At 33.1% G+C, this 16237-nt stretch overlaps 1 protein-coding gene across 8 annotated transcripts in view, besides 1 other annotated feature; it reads right to left on the bottom strand.

Moving 5' to 3' along the window:
• Positions 1-16237, bottom strand: part of FOXP2 (forkhead box P2) — a 607439-nt gene that overhangs the window by 265974 nt on the left and 325228 nt on the right. For 5 of the 8 annotated variants that reach the window (NR_033767.2, NM_148898.4, NM_148900.4 and 2 more), the window contains exons 1-2: positions 12432-12977; positions 1113-1290 (exon numbers count right to left, since the gene is read on the bottom strand). Coding sequence is in view for 6 of the 8 variants with exons in the window: in NM_148898.4 (NP_683696.2) it covers positions 1113-1280 (168 nt within the window). In the remaining 2 variants the exon portion in view is untranslated. Of the gene's footprint in view, positions 1-1112; positions 1291-12431; positions 12978-16237 lie in introns of those variants that run through there. The other 3 variants (NR_033766.2, NM_001172767.2, NM_148899.3) reach the window with 1 other exon arrangement.
• Positions 9200-11000: an enhancer, noted in NCBI's record as "VISTA enhancer hs218". NCBI's record gives its function as "enhancer in: forebrain[5/7]" and the evidence as "EXISTENCE:transgenic organism evidence [ECO:0001131][PMID:17130149]".

Here is a 16237-nt window from a genome sequence, read left to right as displayed (position 1 = left end):
TTTTTTAATGCTGTTATTGTTTAAAATAATGTATCTATTAAATTTTACTCTAGTGTGGGCATTTGCTTTAACTTTTGAGATGTATTTTTCTCATTATATACTACCTTAAAATGTGAATTATTTCACATAATTTGCAATCTTTTCAATAATCATTATTTTAATGGATGTAATTTTAATGATTTTTAGGCATTTAGTTTAAGTGCAATTCAGAGTTACAAAGAAATAATATTTATTTTAAAACAAATATAAACTTTTCAAACAAGTGTACTCATTCTGGCCTAATATAAGTATATGCTTTCAAAGCTTTCTTTTCTCTGTCACTGTTTCTACAGACTTGAGTCAGTGAAGAATGAAGTGGCTATTTTTTGGTTGAAAAGAATTTTTTTTTTTTTTTACAAAATCAGGAAAAAGTAATCTCTTATAAAATGAATAACAGACTACTTAAAAGTGTACCTTTATTTTGTAGTTGTTAACATTTCCAGATTTAAAGAGAATATTGCATTTTATGAGACACTTAGGAGAACACAAAAAGTGCTCTTTAATGTTATTGAAAGATGTATATTCAAAATATCTTGGAATGAATTTCAAGAAAAGCAACAGATCGTAGTGTTTACATGATTTACAATCTCTCAGCAGATTTCAACTAATTAATAGCTAATATTTGCAGCTAACGCAGGCAAGCATCTGTCTTTTGAAAAGTCCTTGTGGTCCTTTTCACCTTAGCTCAGACTTGAAGAAATTCATTGTATAAGCAAGTATCAAGTAATGTGGCCCTCTGGTGGAAAACTAAGTATCACGTTCTGCAGCACAATGTAAGATAGTAAACTAGAAGCTATAAAATATTTGTTACAAAGCTTTACAGACCTTCCAAAAATCATCCTGTGAGCTTAATTAATATCCTGACACCTGAAGGGTACTCTGGTACTGGTATGACGTAACTAATATGAAAATCTTATCTCTTTACTCATCCTTCAATCATGTTCCAAATAATAATAAATTCTCAGCATCTTTTAGCTTAACACAACATGCTCAGTTTGCTATGAATACATTTTTCATATTCAATAAAACAAGCTTATTTGTTTTAAGGAAGCACTGAGGAAAACAAAACTTACCTGCTGTTGTTGCAGATGCAGCAGTTCTACTGTGCTTACTTCAGAGCTGGTGTCACCACTTGATCTTCCATCTCTGCTGCCAGCATCTAATTGGCTGCTTAGAGTGCTCATTCCATTTTGATTCATTGAACTGTTGCTTATTGTCTCTGTCGCAGATTCCTGCATCATGACTTAATACCTAAAAGTGATTAAGAAGTATCAATTAACACACGTTACACCTTCACACTTCCATTATCAAGATGTCCCTCTCTGCCAATTACAGAGACAGCATCTTTAGAAGAGGGGGAAGAAAAAAGCCTTGAATAGTCATTTACCAAGGAAAGCAATACAAATTCAGCTTTCATCCAGATGCTAATCATTGAAATTATGGTTTCTATAAGCAATTTTTGTGCGGTTACATTTAACAGCCAAAGTAACATACCATGCATATAGCATGGTCAATAGCATTTATGAATGACCACATTTTAAAATCTACCTATAAAACCAGTTTAAATGAAGGCATGATTGCACACTCTGTTCTGTTTCCTATTATCTACCTTTGACAACCATGGATGACTATACAGCCTTATTTTAAATATTCACTATCTTGATTCTGTCAGAATTTTACAGCACATCTTATGCAAGGCTGTTGTTTAATGATGCACAGCTAATCATACAAAATTAAAATTTTGTAAGGGTGTTACAAATCATATGGTACCAACCAATGATAAATAGTATAATGGGTTTCTTTTTTTGTGACTAAATAAAATTTTGCCTTGGAGGCATTTTAAGAAAAAGCTCCTGCTGCAAACACGTCAGATATTGCCTATTTTTTTAATCAAACAGCTCATATTCATTTATTTTTCTGACATTTAAAACATTTAATACTGTCCTTCCTGGGAAGTAATTAAGCTTATGCATGAGCAGCAATCAAACTGTTCACTTGAAGATGACTTAAAACTCAATTTTAACATAGGCAAATAAATGAAAGATATAAAATTAATTTTCCAGGCATGTATAAGATATGAAAGCTGGAAATAAAATCTATCAAGAATATCACTAATGATTGTGCTAAAAACAGCATAAATTATGCATATTACCTTCTCTACAGTAATAAATGTTTTATCATTTTCACTGCATAAATATACTGTACTTTCAGGATAGCAATGAGATGTCCTGCCAAGATCAGTGGAAATCCTTGCAGTAAATAAAGAACCAATGTGCTCTTACAAACCAGAATTTCACAGTACATCCTGAATCTGTGGTTTAGAAAGATCATTTTTGGCTCTCAAAGACCTCTGAATCCTGTGCCATAACCTAATGGATGCACTTCTCTGTTTTACTTCTATGGACAGAATTGCAGAAACAACCTGGCTGTGCTGTGACTTTAACAGTAATACCAGACAGTGGACTTACCCTAAAGGACAGTAAACTTATCACTCAATCTAATTTGTTTTTTACATGATTTCAATATTTTAAACTTGATCATATTTTAATGCTTTGTCCATTTAAAATTTTGAAAGGCATTTATTATAAAGCAAATGCAAGCTTCCTATCTCTTCCTGTCATGGAGAAAATGTTTTCCCCAGTTATCTTTTAAAATGCGATGCACACAAACACTAAATACAAAAAGAATCACAGACATACCCAAAAGACATTTTTGAATGCCAATATTAAAATTGTTAAAATTAATGTTTATAGTATCATAGTTTTAACAGATATTTTCATCAAAGCCTAAATTATTAAATTACTTTTCCTACTCTTATCAAGTCCATTAAAAAAAAAGACATACTGATTTAGTAAAAAACGTCAATAGCTGGACTAGCAAAGCAAGTTAGTGTAACAAAAATTACATATACAACTTAAAGCTGTTTGGATAATAAAAAAACAACAGAAAACATGAGCAGAAAGGAAATAATTGCTGTAACTATAGTAAACAATTTTTGAGCGAAATGTGTTTATAAACAAATAGGTTTTGCTAAACATCTTATTGAACATTAACAAAGAAAAAATCATATAAATTAAAACTGATACATAGTGATGGATTTTATAAGAAAAAAACAAAGCTAATACTCTTTTCTGAGATTAGGCAGCTAATAAGTATTCAAATTAGGCATAAATTTTACATGCACAATGTTTAAAATATTCAGAGAAAAGGTCTGATTGCCTTTACTAGTTATATGAAAATTATAATTTCAATCCTCTCCAACTGTAGAAACAGATAGGCATAACTTTTACATATTGCATTTAAATTTTACTTTTGAGAACATGTCTGGAATATGTGTATATATGTGTATGTTTTTATTTCATCACCTAAGTTATTTGAAATATTTATTGTTTCTGGATGGAGTTAGCAACACAAGGAATAAAAATAAAACACTATATTTTCCAGTGTAGCAGACAGGTGCAGCATTTACTACTAACCTTTGTGTAGTAAATCTCAGGACCAATTGGATGAATTAAAGAATTCTACATGTATTACTGTGTCATAATCAAGGCCATCAAATAATTAAGAATAATCAACAAGCAAAGAGGCATGTGTCTAAATCTTTATTACAATTACGAAGAAAGACCTAAATAACTTATAATTCCTTTTAACTAAAGGATTTTATTCTTAGCCCTTGTGGAGTTTTTAACTTTATAAAACCCTACAGTATAAACTGTTATTTACATTTTAAGTTCAATCATCTAAGAGTTAGTAAAATAATGCTTAAGAAAACTATAACAGTGATAGTACTTTTTGCTCTACAAAAGAGGAGTATCTGATACAACACTTATATGAAAAAAGAAGGGTGATTGTGTAATTAGATGATTATACTGTACATTTCACTTAAAAAAGCTTGGAGTATGTTCACTATAAAGGAGGAATTTTTCAAGGACAATGCAGATTATTTCTAGCATTTACTAAGTTTCTCTTGGTAACACTTCCACTTATTTCCCAATATAGGAAATATTTCCAGCACAATGTGAAGTGCTGTTTACCTTTTAAGTATATTTTAAATAATAATAAATTCAGCATATTCTTTCAGAGTGGATGTGCTTATGATCCGAAACATACCAAGCTAAATTATTCATTCTTATCAATCCCACCACAAACATTTTACAAAAATCAGTGAAAATAAATTCCAGATCATTAAAGGGAAAGATGAATCTGGGAGTCCCTGTTTTAATGTTTGTCTGAACTGTAAGTTAAACCCTTAAGTCTTTCATCGTACACAACTTTTCAGCCACATCAGAAAATAACTCTTCAGATCTTACACTCAAACGATACAGTTAGACTTTTCTCCCCTGCATTAAGTTTTCCTTCCTTTCCTTTTTCTTTCTTCTTTTTTAAGCAAGTCACTGTACAGATACTTATTCTCTACACCACTTCCCTTTTGAAACATTAAACTGACACTGGAACTGACTGCACAAGATTGCATTTTCTCTTCCTAAACAACTTGAATTGAAAGGTTACTTAGTGTAACAATATTTACTTGCAGAATTGTGTTGTTACCAAGGGTATAATGGATGGTGGCTATGCAGGTTTACGCAAGAATGAGTGAAGCATGAGGCATTAGCCATGTGTTTGACATGTTTCAAATTGCTATAATCCAGCATTAAACACACCCAGCAATTCATGCCATTTCTTGCAGCCATAATCTTGAATAAAGCGTGCACAACCACTTATTATATAAATTAGTATATGACTCCCTGTTATAGTCACAACAGTGCTTTTGTGTTTATTTTGCATCAAGATGTAGTCTTTTATTTGTACAAATAGCAGGATATAAAGACATAGCTCAATTAGGCCTCCTTACTTTATGATAGGGTAGTACTGAATGCTAGACTTGTTGGTTTTATTTCTTCCTCGTAGAGTTATATGTTCTATTGGTATAAAACTGTATCATGTGAGATAGTTACATGCCAGAGTGATAACAGAAACCTGCATGTATCCTATTCCGTATTCGCAGCAATGTTTAAAAGTTTGAAACTTGACCTGGACAAGCATAGTTAATTGTGTTATCTCAGCCACCACCAGGGACACTACTGGTCCTTGTTGCTTACTCAACTTTCTCTATGGTCTTCTTTCTCATCTCTTCTCCTTCCCTGTTTCTTATGCTCCCTATCTCTTTTCCACTCCACATTCCCATGTGTATATGTGTGCACATGAATATGTGTATCTATATATGTTTATAAAGATAGATCAATCAATCTGTCTATGTATGTCAGGGATTATAAAGAAGATAAAAATAGCCTCTACTTTGAACCACACTCTGCATTCTACATAAACAGTCTGTCTTATAATCTTAGTGCCTTAATATTAACTCTCATTTTGGTGGAGGAGTCTTACTATTTAATCAAAACAAATGGATGAAAAAAAAATGACTTCCCAGAAAACTAAGAACAAATAACAGTACATATAAAACATTTCTAACAATTCATTTCGTCAACTTTTCTTAAACAAAATGATTACAGTGACCTTGAAAGACACTTTATGTCTAATATCTGATTCATTCCAGTGTCCAATTTATTTAATCAAACATATGCATTAAATCCAAATAGTTTTGAATATGACATTTTAAGAAAAGTAAGGCATCAAATTTAAAACATATATTCTTAAATACCTCCTTAATCTTTGATCAATTATCAATATCAAATATTAAATATTTCTATGCAGATTCACACAAGAAAGAGTTAAATATTAAGAAAACTTAACATATGTAACAAGAAACCTCATACGTTTACCTCAAAATATTAGTTAAGTTCTAATTTTGAAAACTTGACTGTGATTTAAAACTTCTGAAAGAAACTAGCGTTTAAATAATGATAACTCTTGTGCTCTAGTGGAATTAATTCATCATAGGCACCATGCATAGTGCATTTGAGATCCAGCACTGCTTTGCTAAAAGTCTTTAATGCTAAGATTGCCTAATAAATCAAAATGCCAAATATGAAGGATATAGTTGAATGTGTAAGAACAAAAATTGAAACAGCACATGAATATTTTCAATTTTTAAAAACTGAAGCAGGATGTCTTTTAAAACATGATTTGGGGAAGGTTATCTGTTATAGCAAGTGATATTTTTACTATACCAAGTGACATAATTTTAAGTAAATTAAAATTAACTTGTTTATTAAGTATTTGTTACTACTTTTTACTTATTTAAACAAAATGCCTAAAATGCTATACACAAATTAGAAAAAAAAACACTTTAGTAAAAATTCAGACTTTCATTCAAAAAGGTTAATATTTCAAACATGCAAAGTAGAAGGACATTTTAACAAAATATTTTTTAAATGATAATGACTACATTTTAGCAAAGATAATACTGTTAGATCTTCAACAATAACAAAATCTAGGAAACATAAGTAAAGCCAATGAAAAACTTATCTTCCATTTCAATCAGCTATTAATTAACTTAGCAACTAAGTATATTATATTTTGCTCCTGGATAAAAAATAAAATAAGTTTAAAATGGAAACAAAACATAAATATTTAATTATGAAAATATTATAAAATACTAAAATTAAGTATTTAATCCCTATGCTATTTCACTTAAAGTGCAATGAAGAATTTGAAAGAATGGTGGCCATGTAGATGTATTTTACTGCAACATTATGATTCTGTATCTATAGTTCAGAAGCCCCCTTCAGAAGTATAATTGAAAGAGATTTTATAATACTATATTGATAATTCTGGTTAACTAATTACTCAAAAATATATTTCAAAATTATATTTTCACATTAATCTTCATATTCTAACATCTTGTCTTCACATTCATATAATTTCTGTATATATTTATTTCTCAAACATGTAAAAATGTACACCAATTTTTACTTTTCAAGGTACATGCTAAATTGTCAGTCTTCCTTTTAAATATATAAATTTTAATGTTAGTTTAATTCATTAAATCATTTAAATGTTTTAAAATCAATCCTTTATAGCATTAATATTTATTTTTTCAAAACAAGGGGGATAGGAAGCTTAGGGAAAGTTTATTTCACCCTGCTACTTTATAACCTCTGACAAATTGAGTTTTCATTAATTTATAATGCCAAAATGTAATATTTTTTGCAATGTGTTATCCTATCTAACTGTATGTCTTAGATATGTAAGAGGAGGACTTAAAAACTAAAGAATGTTACCTAGTTGCCAATACAAAAATAAATACTGGCTACAGTTTACAAGACACCAGGTAAGCAAGTATATTCTGTCACAGATTTTCTTGTCTTTGCCTGAAGAAGAAAAATTGTCAAATCCTGCAACCAGGAATATTTTCGTTTAGGAAACAGAATTTAACAGTAAAAATGTAAGGCAATAAGAAATAATTAGCTCTCCAAGAACATAGAAAGACCTGCCTAGCAGGCAAAACCTCCCTCTTTTTTATTTAAAAAGCTTAGTGATTGAGTTGTGCAAGCTTGCAAGCTTCCATGCAGTGGGTCCACTTACAGTCAAATTCCCAAAGGCTGGACTACTTGCAATAGCCTTCACTGATCCCCTGGCTAATGAGAGCTCTGAGTATGTACTTCTCTTGTGATGGCATTTTCACCTTTCCTGCCACATATCTTTCCTTAACCCTCAGGCTTACTTTACTTCAATCTTCAGTCTCCCGCCCACAGCAACTCCCTGGGATCCCTTGCTGTTTTTCCTGAGCATAATACAGCTCTTCCACGGATCCTCATTCTCTTGCCCTTTCAGCACTTTTTACTTCCAGGCTATCTTTTGGGTGCCAAATGTCCCTTTAATACTGCTCCTCAGCAGACCCACCTCTTGCCTTCCCATTGGAAGACCCACAGCATAGGCGGTACGCTTAGAGAAATTTCTTCCACCGGTCTCAACTTAGTGCAAAAGTCCAACATGAGCCTAGCAGGTGGATGCAATGGTAAGGCCAGAATTTTAATGTAACCACATGATTGTGTTGAATGGAGTTTTAGAATCTGGTCAGGAAACTGCTTTTGTCCTTTCTGGGGTGTGTGTGTGTGTGTGTGTGTGTGTGTGTGTGTCTATGTGTATGTAAGCGACCTGTCACAGAGGTTTTTTGACGGCATAGTTTCAAAATAGTTTATACGTTATTCTTGAGATTGAACTTTATTTTAGGCATTAGAATAAACATTTTTATACTTAGCTTCCACTAATGTTAGCATGAGTCACACTCATACCATGGTCTGATCTAAATAGCAAGTATGCTATAAGGATAAATAACTGTGAGGGATGTAGGGTAATTTATACTCTGGCATCAAGTGTGTATAAAACAAGTGACTATGAAGCAGACCTACTCCAAAAACACCTGTATTAACACACAACATGTAACTATTTTAAACTGTTTTAAATGTTAGCACACATCAGAATATCAAAACATGGCATAAACCTTTCCGTCAAATTTCAAACCTAAACTTGCTGTTTGCAAGTATTTCTTGTCCTATGTAAAATGAAATCCACCTATTTTGGATGAATTCACTATTGCTGCCAAACAATAGAAAATGCCAATAACAGTATGTCATAAAGTATATATTTAATACACATAGATTATCAAAATTTGACATACTACATATGTATATACATGCATATACTTGACATACATATACCTATAACAATTGCCTTTATATGCACAGTCAGTTAGCATAGATGTATTCTGTAACTTAGCATTTAATAATACAGGCAAAATGCAGGAAAAATATAGCCAGTTGATAAAAGCAACTGAGAAGAGTGTGTGTTTAGCATTACAATTTAATGCATTTAGACAGAAAAATTTTACATTATCATTTGTCAGTTTTATTTTAATTACTAGTCTTTCAGTTAGAGCTCTAGGAAACACACTGTTATTCCAATTTAGAAGAAAGTCATTATGAGTTCTTACAGAAGAATCAGAAGGCAGATTGGAGGCACCTGGGTTTATTGAAATAGCCACATCATTCTTATAAGTATACTTAAAACATTTGCCTCAGTTTAACTAAACATGAAAGATATACGCCTGAATCCTTTGCGATCGACAGGTTCTCATAAAAAAAAGCCATTGACCTTCTGTATAGCTTTTTTTTTTGAACCCACAGCTTCAATCATCACCAGAAAGTTCTTTAAAACACTACAATAGCTTTGTTTCTTTTCTGCTTTAATTAGCCTTCATGACGTCTGTTCTGTGAGTTTCCTTTTCTCTTTCTTTTTTTCTTCTATGGTTCCTAAAGATTCAAATGTCTGAGAAAAAGAACTTTGTAATACTAACAAGAGTCACTACAACTTCTTTAGAAGAAGGTGAGTGGATGTAAAGTTAATGATCGAAGCAGACACAAACCTCGCTAGCCACAGAATCTTGCCGAAGTAATACAGAGACATAGCTCATCATGACGTTTCCAGTTATTTCTAGCTGATTAGGGTCATTATGTTGGAGGGCTGATTTATGTTGTCATTCCCTCTCACCAGTCCTGCATCAATAGATCTTAATGAATTGGTAAATAAGGGTGAAGATTACACTTGACAACACAGAAACATTTCTCATTCATACCAGACAAGATTTATGTAACCAATTAGGACATAACAGGAGAAATTGGTCAGAAGAAAAATAATCTTTCCAGAAGAAAATTACCCAAGTCCAAACCTCTACAAAAACAGATAACCACTGGAGTTTAATATCAGCTCAATCATGAGTATAACGCCTTGTTGTTCCTTTTAAAGGAATATACCCTCACAAAAATCTGAATGCACAGAAAGTTTTTGAAAAATGTATTGCAATGTCTACTTTCTACAACATTTTAAGATGCAATAAAGTACTTTTCACAAAGTAGAAACATCTTGGGGCATAGCACTTTACTGTATATCAGTTCGTGTATTTCTTTCATAGTATCATTTCCAAGTGTAAGAATGCTATAAGAAAATACCAAAAATGCATGCATTTGTCAGTTTCTAAAGAATGATCATTACCAAAAAAGGTTTCATAGTTCGTATATTTAATAGAAGTAATTATTTGCTTTTCATTTTTACAGTTCCAGTGTCAGTTGTTGCCCCTTTGTCATTAAAATAAAGATGAAAGCACTGATCATCAATAGGAAACCACAGCTTTAAAAACCCAAAGGGCTGGTGTGAACAGAGGTGGAAAATTAAAGCAAAGTGATATTGAAACAGCCCAATTCAACTTGCTTTAAGCATATGCAAATGAGATTCCACTGCTTAACTGCATCATTTATGTCGATAATATCAGCATCATCATTACAGGACTTGCAATTAAATTACATCATAATTAGCATTTCAAAGTGATTGGTTAAACTTTAAAACAAATACCCAATTCTGCTAATGAACAGTGCTAATTGACTTGTACATACTAAATAAAAGAGCTAGGTAAATATATGTTCTAGAAACAATTTTTAAAATTCATTGTTTTAGAGGAAACAAAAGGCAAAAATTAAAAACAGAAAATTGCCAGGGGGATTTGTATGCTGAAATTTAAAACATGTAGCATTTAATTTTATTGCACTAAAGAACCTATTAGATTCTAGACTCTAGAGAACAATGTAAATTATCTGCTTTCAGAATGGAGTTGGGCCAATTCTCTCTATCAACTAATCACAAACCTCATTATGCATAGGAGTATTAAATTATGAAGAAGCAGCATTCCACATTCCAGCACAAATCCCTATGAAATGTTAATAATATGCCCACAATAGCAGAATACCATGCCTTACTTGCCTTCATGAATAATAAAGTAAACAAATTATCTATCCACCTTTTACAAAGATTATTAGTATTTCAATGCATATAATTTTAGTGATCTTTAAAATAAAACGTGAGCATATTCTGTGAAATTTTACATGGGTTTAAAAAAAAAAGTCAAACAAGTTGTTTTCTAATAGAGCACCATATTTCTAAACAGATACCTGTAACCCTTCAATACCGTAATCTCTGTTAGGTATAGGACTCTGCTTTCCGTGAAAACCAACAGGCTAATCATTAAACCTCTCCACATATTCTCAAGTATACTTTGTTTCCAAACTTGTACAGCAGAAGGGCTGACTGTAAAGACAAATAAATATGCCTTTAAAAGGGCATTATGAATCAACTATAGATAATCAGATTTAAAGTCAGAACAGTTCAAAGATAAGGAACAATCGAAAATAAGAATGAAAGTTTTGTATTACACACACTATTGACGGTGAAAGTGATTCAAGATCTATTCTAAGCACACATTAAATAGAGTGCTTTTTTTTTTTTTTTTTTTGGTCGCGGAGGCTAGTAAACAAAAACCTGTCACTTAGGCTACAGTAAAGTGAAAATACATGGATGAAATTTAGGCGTTATTACCTGAAGGTGAAGAATGTCAAACTGGTCAGAGGAAAAAGCTGTTGGTGTTGCAGTAAGAACTTGCTCATGTCACTGGGAAAAGTGCAGCTATCTGTGTCATCCTCCGACTGTGTTTATACTGGCTTGCATCATAAACAAGCTCATCTTCCCTCATAGCTTGTTCATGCATACTTAAATCACCTTGCCCATTAAAAATGTCTCTCTTGACAATTATTCTATCATTTTCAGTTGTCATCAGGCAATTACTGTAGCCCTATGATGGGCCCAATAGGATCCCAGGTTCTGAGACGCTTTTTTGAAGCAGACAGAATGAAAAGTGCAGAAATGGTAATTTATAGCCCAGCCAAGCTACCTTTTTAACTGACACGAGTATTAAACTATCACACCTATTTGAAGAAATATAATGCAGTTTCTAAAAATTACTCATCAATTCACAATGTGTATTCCTGGAAATATATATATTTCTTCACAATCAGTGATTTGAAAAAGACCCACCAACCAATTTTTAATAAAATCATGAACATGCATATAAAACTACAAAGATCATCTGAGCCCTGACTCCTTTCATGTTTGTACAAGCTTAGCAAAAAGAGTTTCCCCTTTAGCACAAAATAAACATCTGCTCTACACAGCACGGCACAGAGAGGCACCCAAACGTGTGGTCAAACTCCCTTTTCAAAAACTTGCGCCCTGACACATACTGGGGCATTTACTAAAAGCAAGATGACATGGTTATTATCAAACCATGAAAGCAGGAACCCTGTCTTTATTCTTCTCAAGATCTTGCAGATTTTTTTTTAATACAAAAGAGGCCTTCTTTATTTGCTGTCTTTACTAGTGATAGCTTAAATCTACATTACGCTACTGACAGATCAAAAACAGTTCCTGTGTCTGGTCTCCCGGCTTTTCCCTCGCAAACAGATACAATGCTCTAGTTCATTTCAATGAGCTACAGTCTCAGAAAAAAAAAAAAGTAAAGCAATTGCCAAATCTACCAGTAAAGCAATCGTAAAATCCCACCCCTCTCTAAACTCTTACAGATATTCTCTTAGCAAAAAGTAACGTACCTTCTCTGGAAATGTTAGAGCAAACTTCCCGGTTTCAACTTCATAGGAGTTTGTTAAAGAGATGAAAAATTAGGAAGATTCAAAAAAGCCAGCACAGAAAACAGTATAAAAAGAAGGGAAAACTCAGAAGCTAGCTCACTGTCAAAGCCACCATCAGACAACTATTTACAGCAGTATTTACACTACTGTGAGTACACCTCTGCCCGATCACGTCCCAGACTGATGGCATTTTGTGCTGGTAATTAAAACAAATCAAGCAGCTCTGTGATTGTTTTGGCGTCCGTGGACAATCGTACACAAAATCAGCATTTAATCACTAGGGTATGTCTTTGGTGTGCAACGTGAGGGGTGACAAAGGTTCAAGACTGAGCCAGCATGCTTACCATAATCTTTCTAAAGTAAGTGCTTCATTTTTGTGTGTGTGTATGTGTGTGTGTGCATGTGTGTGAGTGTGTGAGTGTGTGTGTGAGAGAGAGAAAGACAGAGAGAGAGAGACAAAAGCACCAGTTTGAGTCTCTCAAGTCCTCGGTTAGCTTTCATGTCTGTGATAAATACACTTCTTGCTTCCCTTATTAGGACAAGCTTACCATTATACACTGCACTTTTGGTAAAGCTCCAGTGCTCTGCAATTTACAGCCAAAGGAAGTAGTTTACAAAAATAAGCAAACCCAAGACAAGCATTTCACAGCCACAACATCAGATAAGCCAGAAAGAAATAATCTTCAATGCACATCAAAACCACTTCACAATGACAATTTGTCCAAGCAGATGTTAATCAAGCTTCAGCCTTTGAACACTAGATACCATCAATTACTAACCTTAATTGAAATCACAGTTCTCCAGCTTCTCTGCCAGCATATTCAGAGGATGATGTATTAAGATATTTACAGTAAAGTAAACAATGCATAGTTGCAATGAAATGGAAAATTTTCAGCTAATGGTGTTTGTCAATCCTTTGTCAATTTTTCTGCCTGCCACAGATGTTTTCTTAGCTGTTTCACAAAAACAGGAATCAACTAGCAGAGAAGAAAGACTTTCTCTCCCCCAGGAAAAGAGTACAAAGCCAAGTCTGTACACAGCAGATGCAAAAGAAAGTCCATCTGCTACCAGCTCACAACACCACATGGAGTTTTAAGATTTTATACTGTAGGTAGCCTAGCAGGGTTTGTGTGGACCCCATAAGCATGAAAGGAAGAGAAATGGTAGCCTCAAACTGTTAAGGTAAAAACTACAGCTACAGAGACAGAATGAACAACTTACTGAAGCTGGTAAATCAAAGGTTTATTTGCAATAATTTTCCTCCTATTGCAAGAACTGACTAGTTTTTTAGGAGTTACACCCAAGACAGGAACGACACTGTCTTAGTTTTATGGCCTTTAACTCTGGGCAAGACAACTTGAACTCACAGGTCTCAGCTGAACACCATCGTGAGTGGACAAGCTTTAACAGCACCCCACCTACAACTTAATGTGAGACAAAACAACAGTTACTGAACAAAGCACTTCGAAGAGATCTTTAACCGGCCACCACTCCTGCCACTGACTTATCTTGTTTTAGTTTCTTCAGATGAGTAACATCTGCCACTACTTTTGTTGCACATTTAAATACTAAACAGAAGAGGGAAAGATGTATAAAGAAGTACTTAAAATAACTGCTTCTAATAGCCTTTAATACAGACATTTTGGGTAAGTAATTACAGCAAATTTCACATTTCACCTTCAACCCCTGAGGCTGCACTATTTCTCCACCTCCCCTGAAAGGAACTGAAAGCACTTATTCTTTAGCTCTGTGATACAAAACCGTTTAATATTCTGTTAGCAATTTTTTTCATTTTATAGTTAAATAATTCACTCATTAAAAGTATGTTTATATTGGTTTTTTTTTAAACCAAAATTTAAACACAGGAAACTCATGCAATAGGCAAGTACCTGTAAACATTTATTTTTAACATTTTTTTATCAGATTGTGAACAAAGCAAATGAAATTATATGAGCAATAGTAACTTATATTTTAAGGGAATTAAACAACTGCGAATATTCAAGTATCAGGAATATATTTTTTAAGTCTGCTTTGTTCATTTAAAAATTTTTTCTCCCAACTCTTCACAGTTTACAGGGCTTCCACATTTCAAAGAAACTGTGAATAATGTATACAATGACACAAATGACTTTATGTACTCCAGAGGAAATAAAGGATAGTTTCCATTATCACATCAGTCAAATAACATTTTCACACAAATCTGTTTACATTCACTAAAATGATAACATAATGCTCTTCAGCAATAGTGCCTTATCAACCTAGAAAGCAGTGTAGTAGCAATTAACATAAAATTTAAAAGCTTACACTCATTTTTACCAACAAAAGTTAAAAAAATTGATACCTCTGACATTCAAAAATATTGTTATAAATATGTAAATTCATTTTTTTAAGTAAAATATTTGCATCTCCTTTCCTCCTCCAGGCTTTTGAACTTCTGAGGTCAACAAGGACAAACAATACCACTAGTGTCTCTTTGCAAAAAGCTGGGTTTGCTGTCTGCAAGCAATGGTATCATTTCCATAGCAACCCCCTAACTATTAATTTTCAATTAAAGCAGACACAAAGCGGACAGCCTCAGGCTGGCAGACAGTGTCAAGAGCCCATCTCTGTAGGCAACAGTTTCACACAGCTATCAAGCCATAGGTGCCTCCCGCACAAAGCTGCATCGGGGTACGTCAAGTTTGGCTGGTTACAATGACATTAACCTTCAGTTCAGGCCTAAATAATTTATAGCAAGCTTCACTAAGCACATATAAAGGTGACAAAAACTAGGAAAAGAAATAATTAACTAATGCAAATACCTCCCAATAAACACAAACAATCTCACACACACACAAATGTATTAGGAAGAAGTGTATAACCATTTTGTCAAGTCATTTGTTCCTGAAGAGTCCCACATTCTTTACTATCAGCACACTACTCTTCGATATCACCTGGAAATAACTCCAGGTTATTAAAGAAAATGTTACACTCTGCATATTAGTTTTCACAATCAAATTTTGCTTAACATAAAAGACTATGACTACATTACATTACATAGTAAAACTCCTTTCATTTTATAACCCTATGGCAGGTACGTGATCAGGAAGATGCCACTAAGTAAAAAAATTTTAACTTATATCTTCCAAAATAATCATAGTAATTTTAAAAATAGATTGCTAACCAGACTGTGGTGTTTTCTTTCTATGCCCTTATTATGATTTCTTCCAATAGCAAATCTTTAAAAATATTTTTTAATTTCTTAAACATGAGATGACCTATTAGCAATTCCACTGAACTATAACACTGGTAATTTTGTACTATGACACCTGAGTTTGTTCAAAACAAGCACATTTCAAGGCATAACATAGCAAACATTTTGCTGTATTAAAATCTATTTCAAAAACACATTGAATACCTACTATGTGCCATGCACTGGCTCCATGAAAACTAATCTTGTTTTCCCCCAAAATAGTTATGGAAAAGAATGTATGAAAGGTCAAATTTCCCCCACACTGGATATGATCAGTTGTAAATCCCCTGGACAACTGTCAGCTTTGAGAAGACTTGGTTCTTCTCTCTAGTGCAGAGGGATCTATAAGCAAGACACATCGAATGAGCTAGGACACTGATTAAATACCAATCTTGAAAGCAGCAGAACAAACTAACAGGAAAAAATGCCCAGTGCTATCAAAACTGTAACATTGTAACAATAAAATCTAAACTAAATCGGTGGCATTTACTAAATTGCAGCCACCATTTCAAACAGATAAAAGATGAAATACATA

This window comes from Homo sapiens, chromosome 7 (assembly GCF_000001405.40).
Source record: "Homo sapiens chromosome 7, GRCh38.p14 Primary Assembly".
NCBI classification, from domain to species: Eukaryota; Metazoa; Chordata; class Mammalia; order Primates; family Hominidae; genus Homo; species Homo sapiens.
The sequence above is the reverse complement of the archived record's forward strand: the minus strand, read 5'-3'. Positions and strand labels throughout refer to the sequence as shown.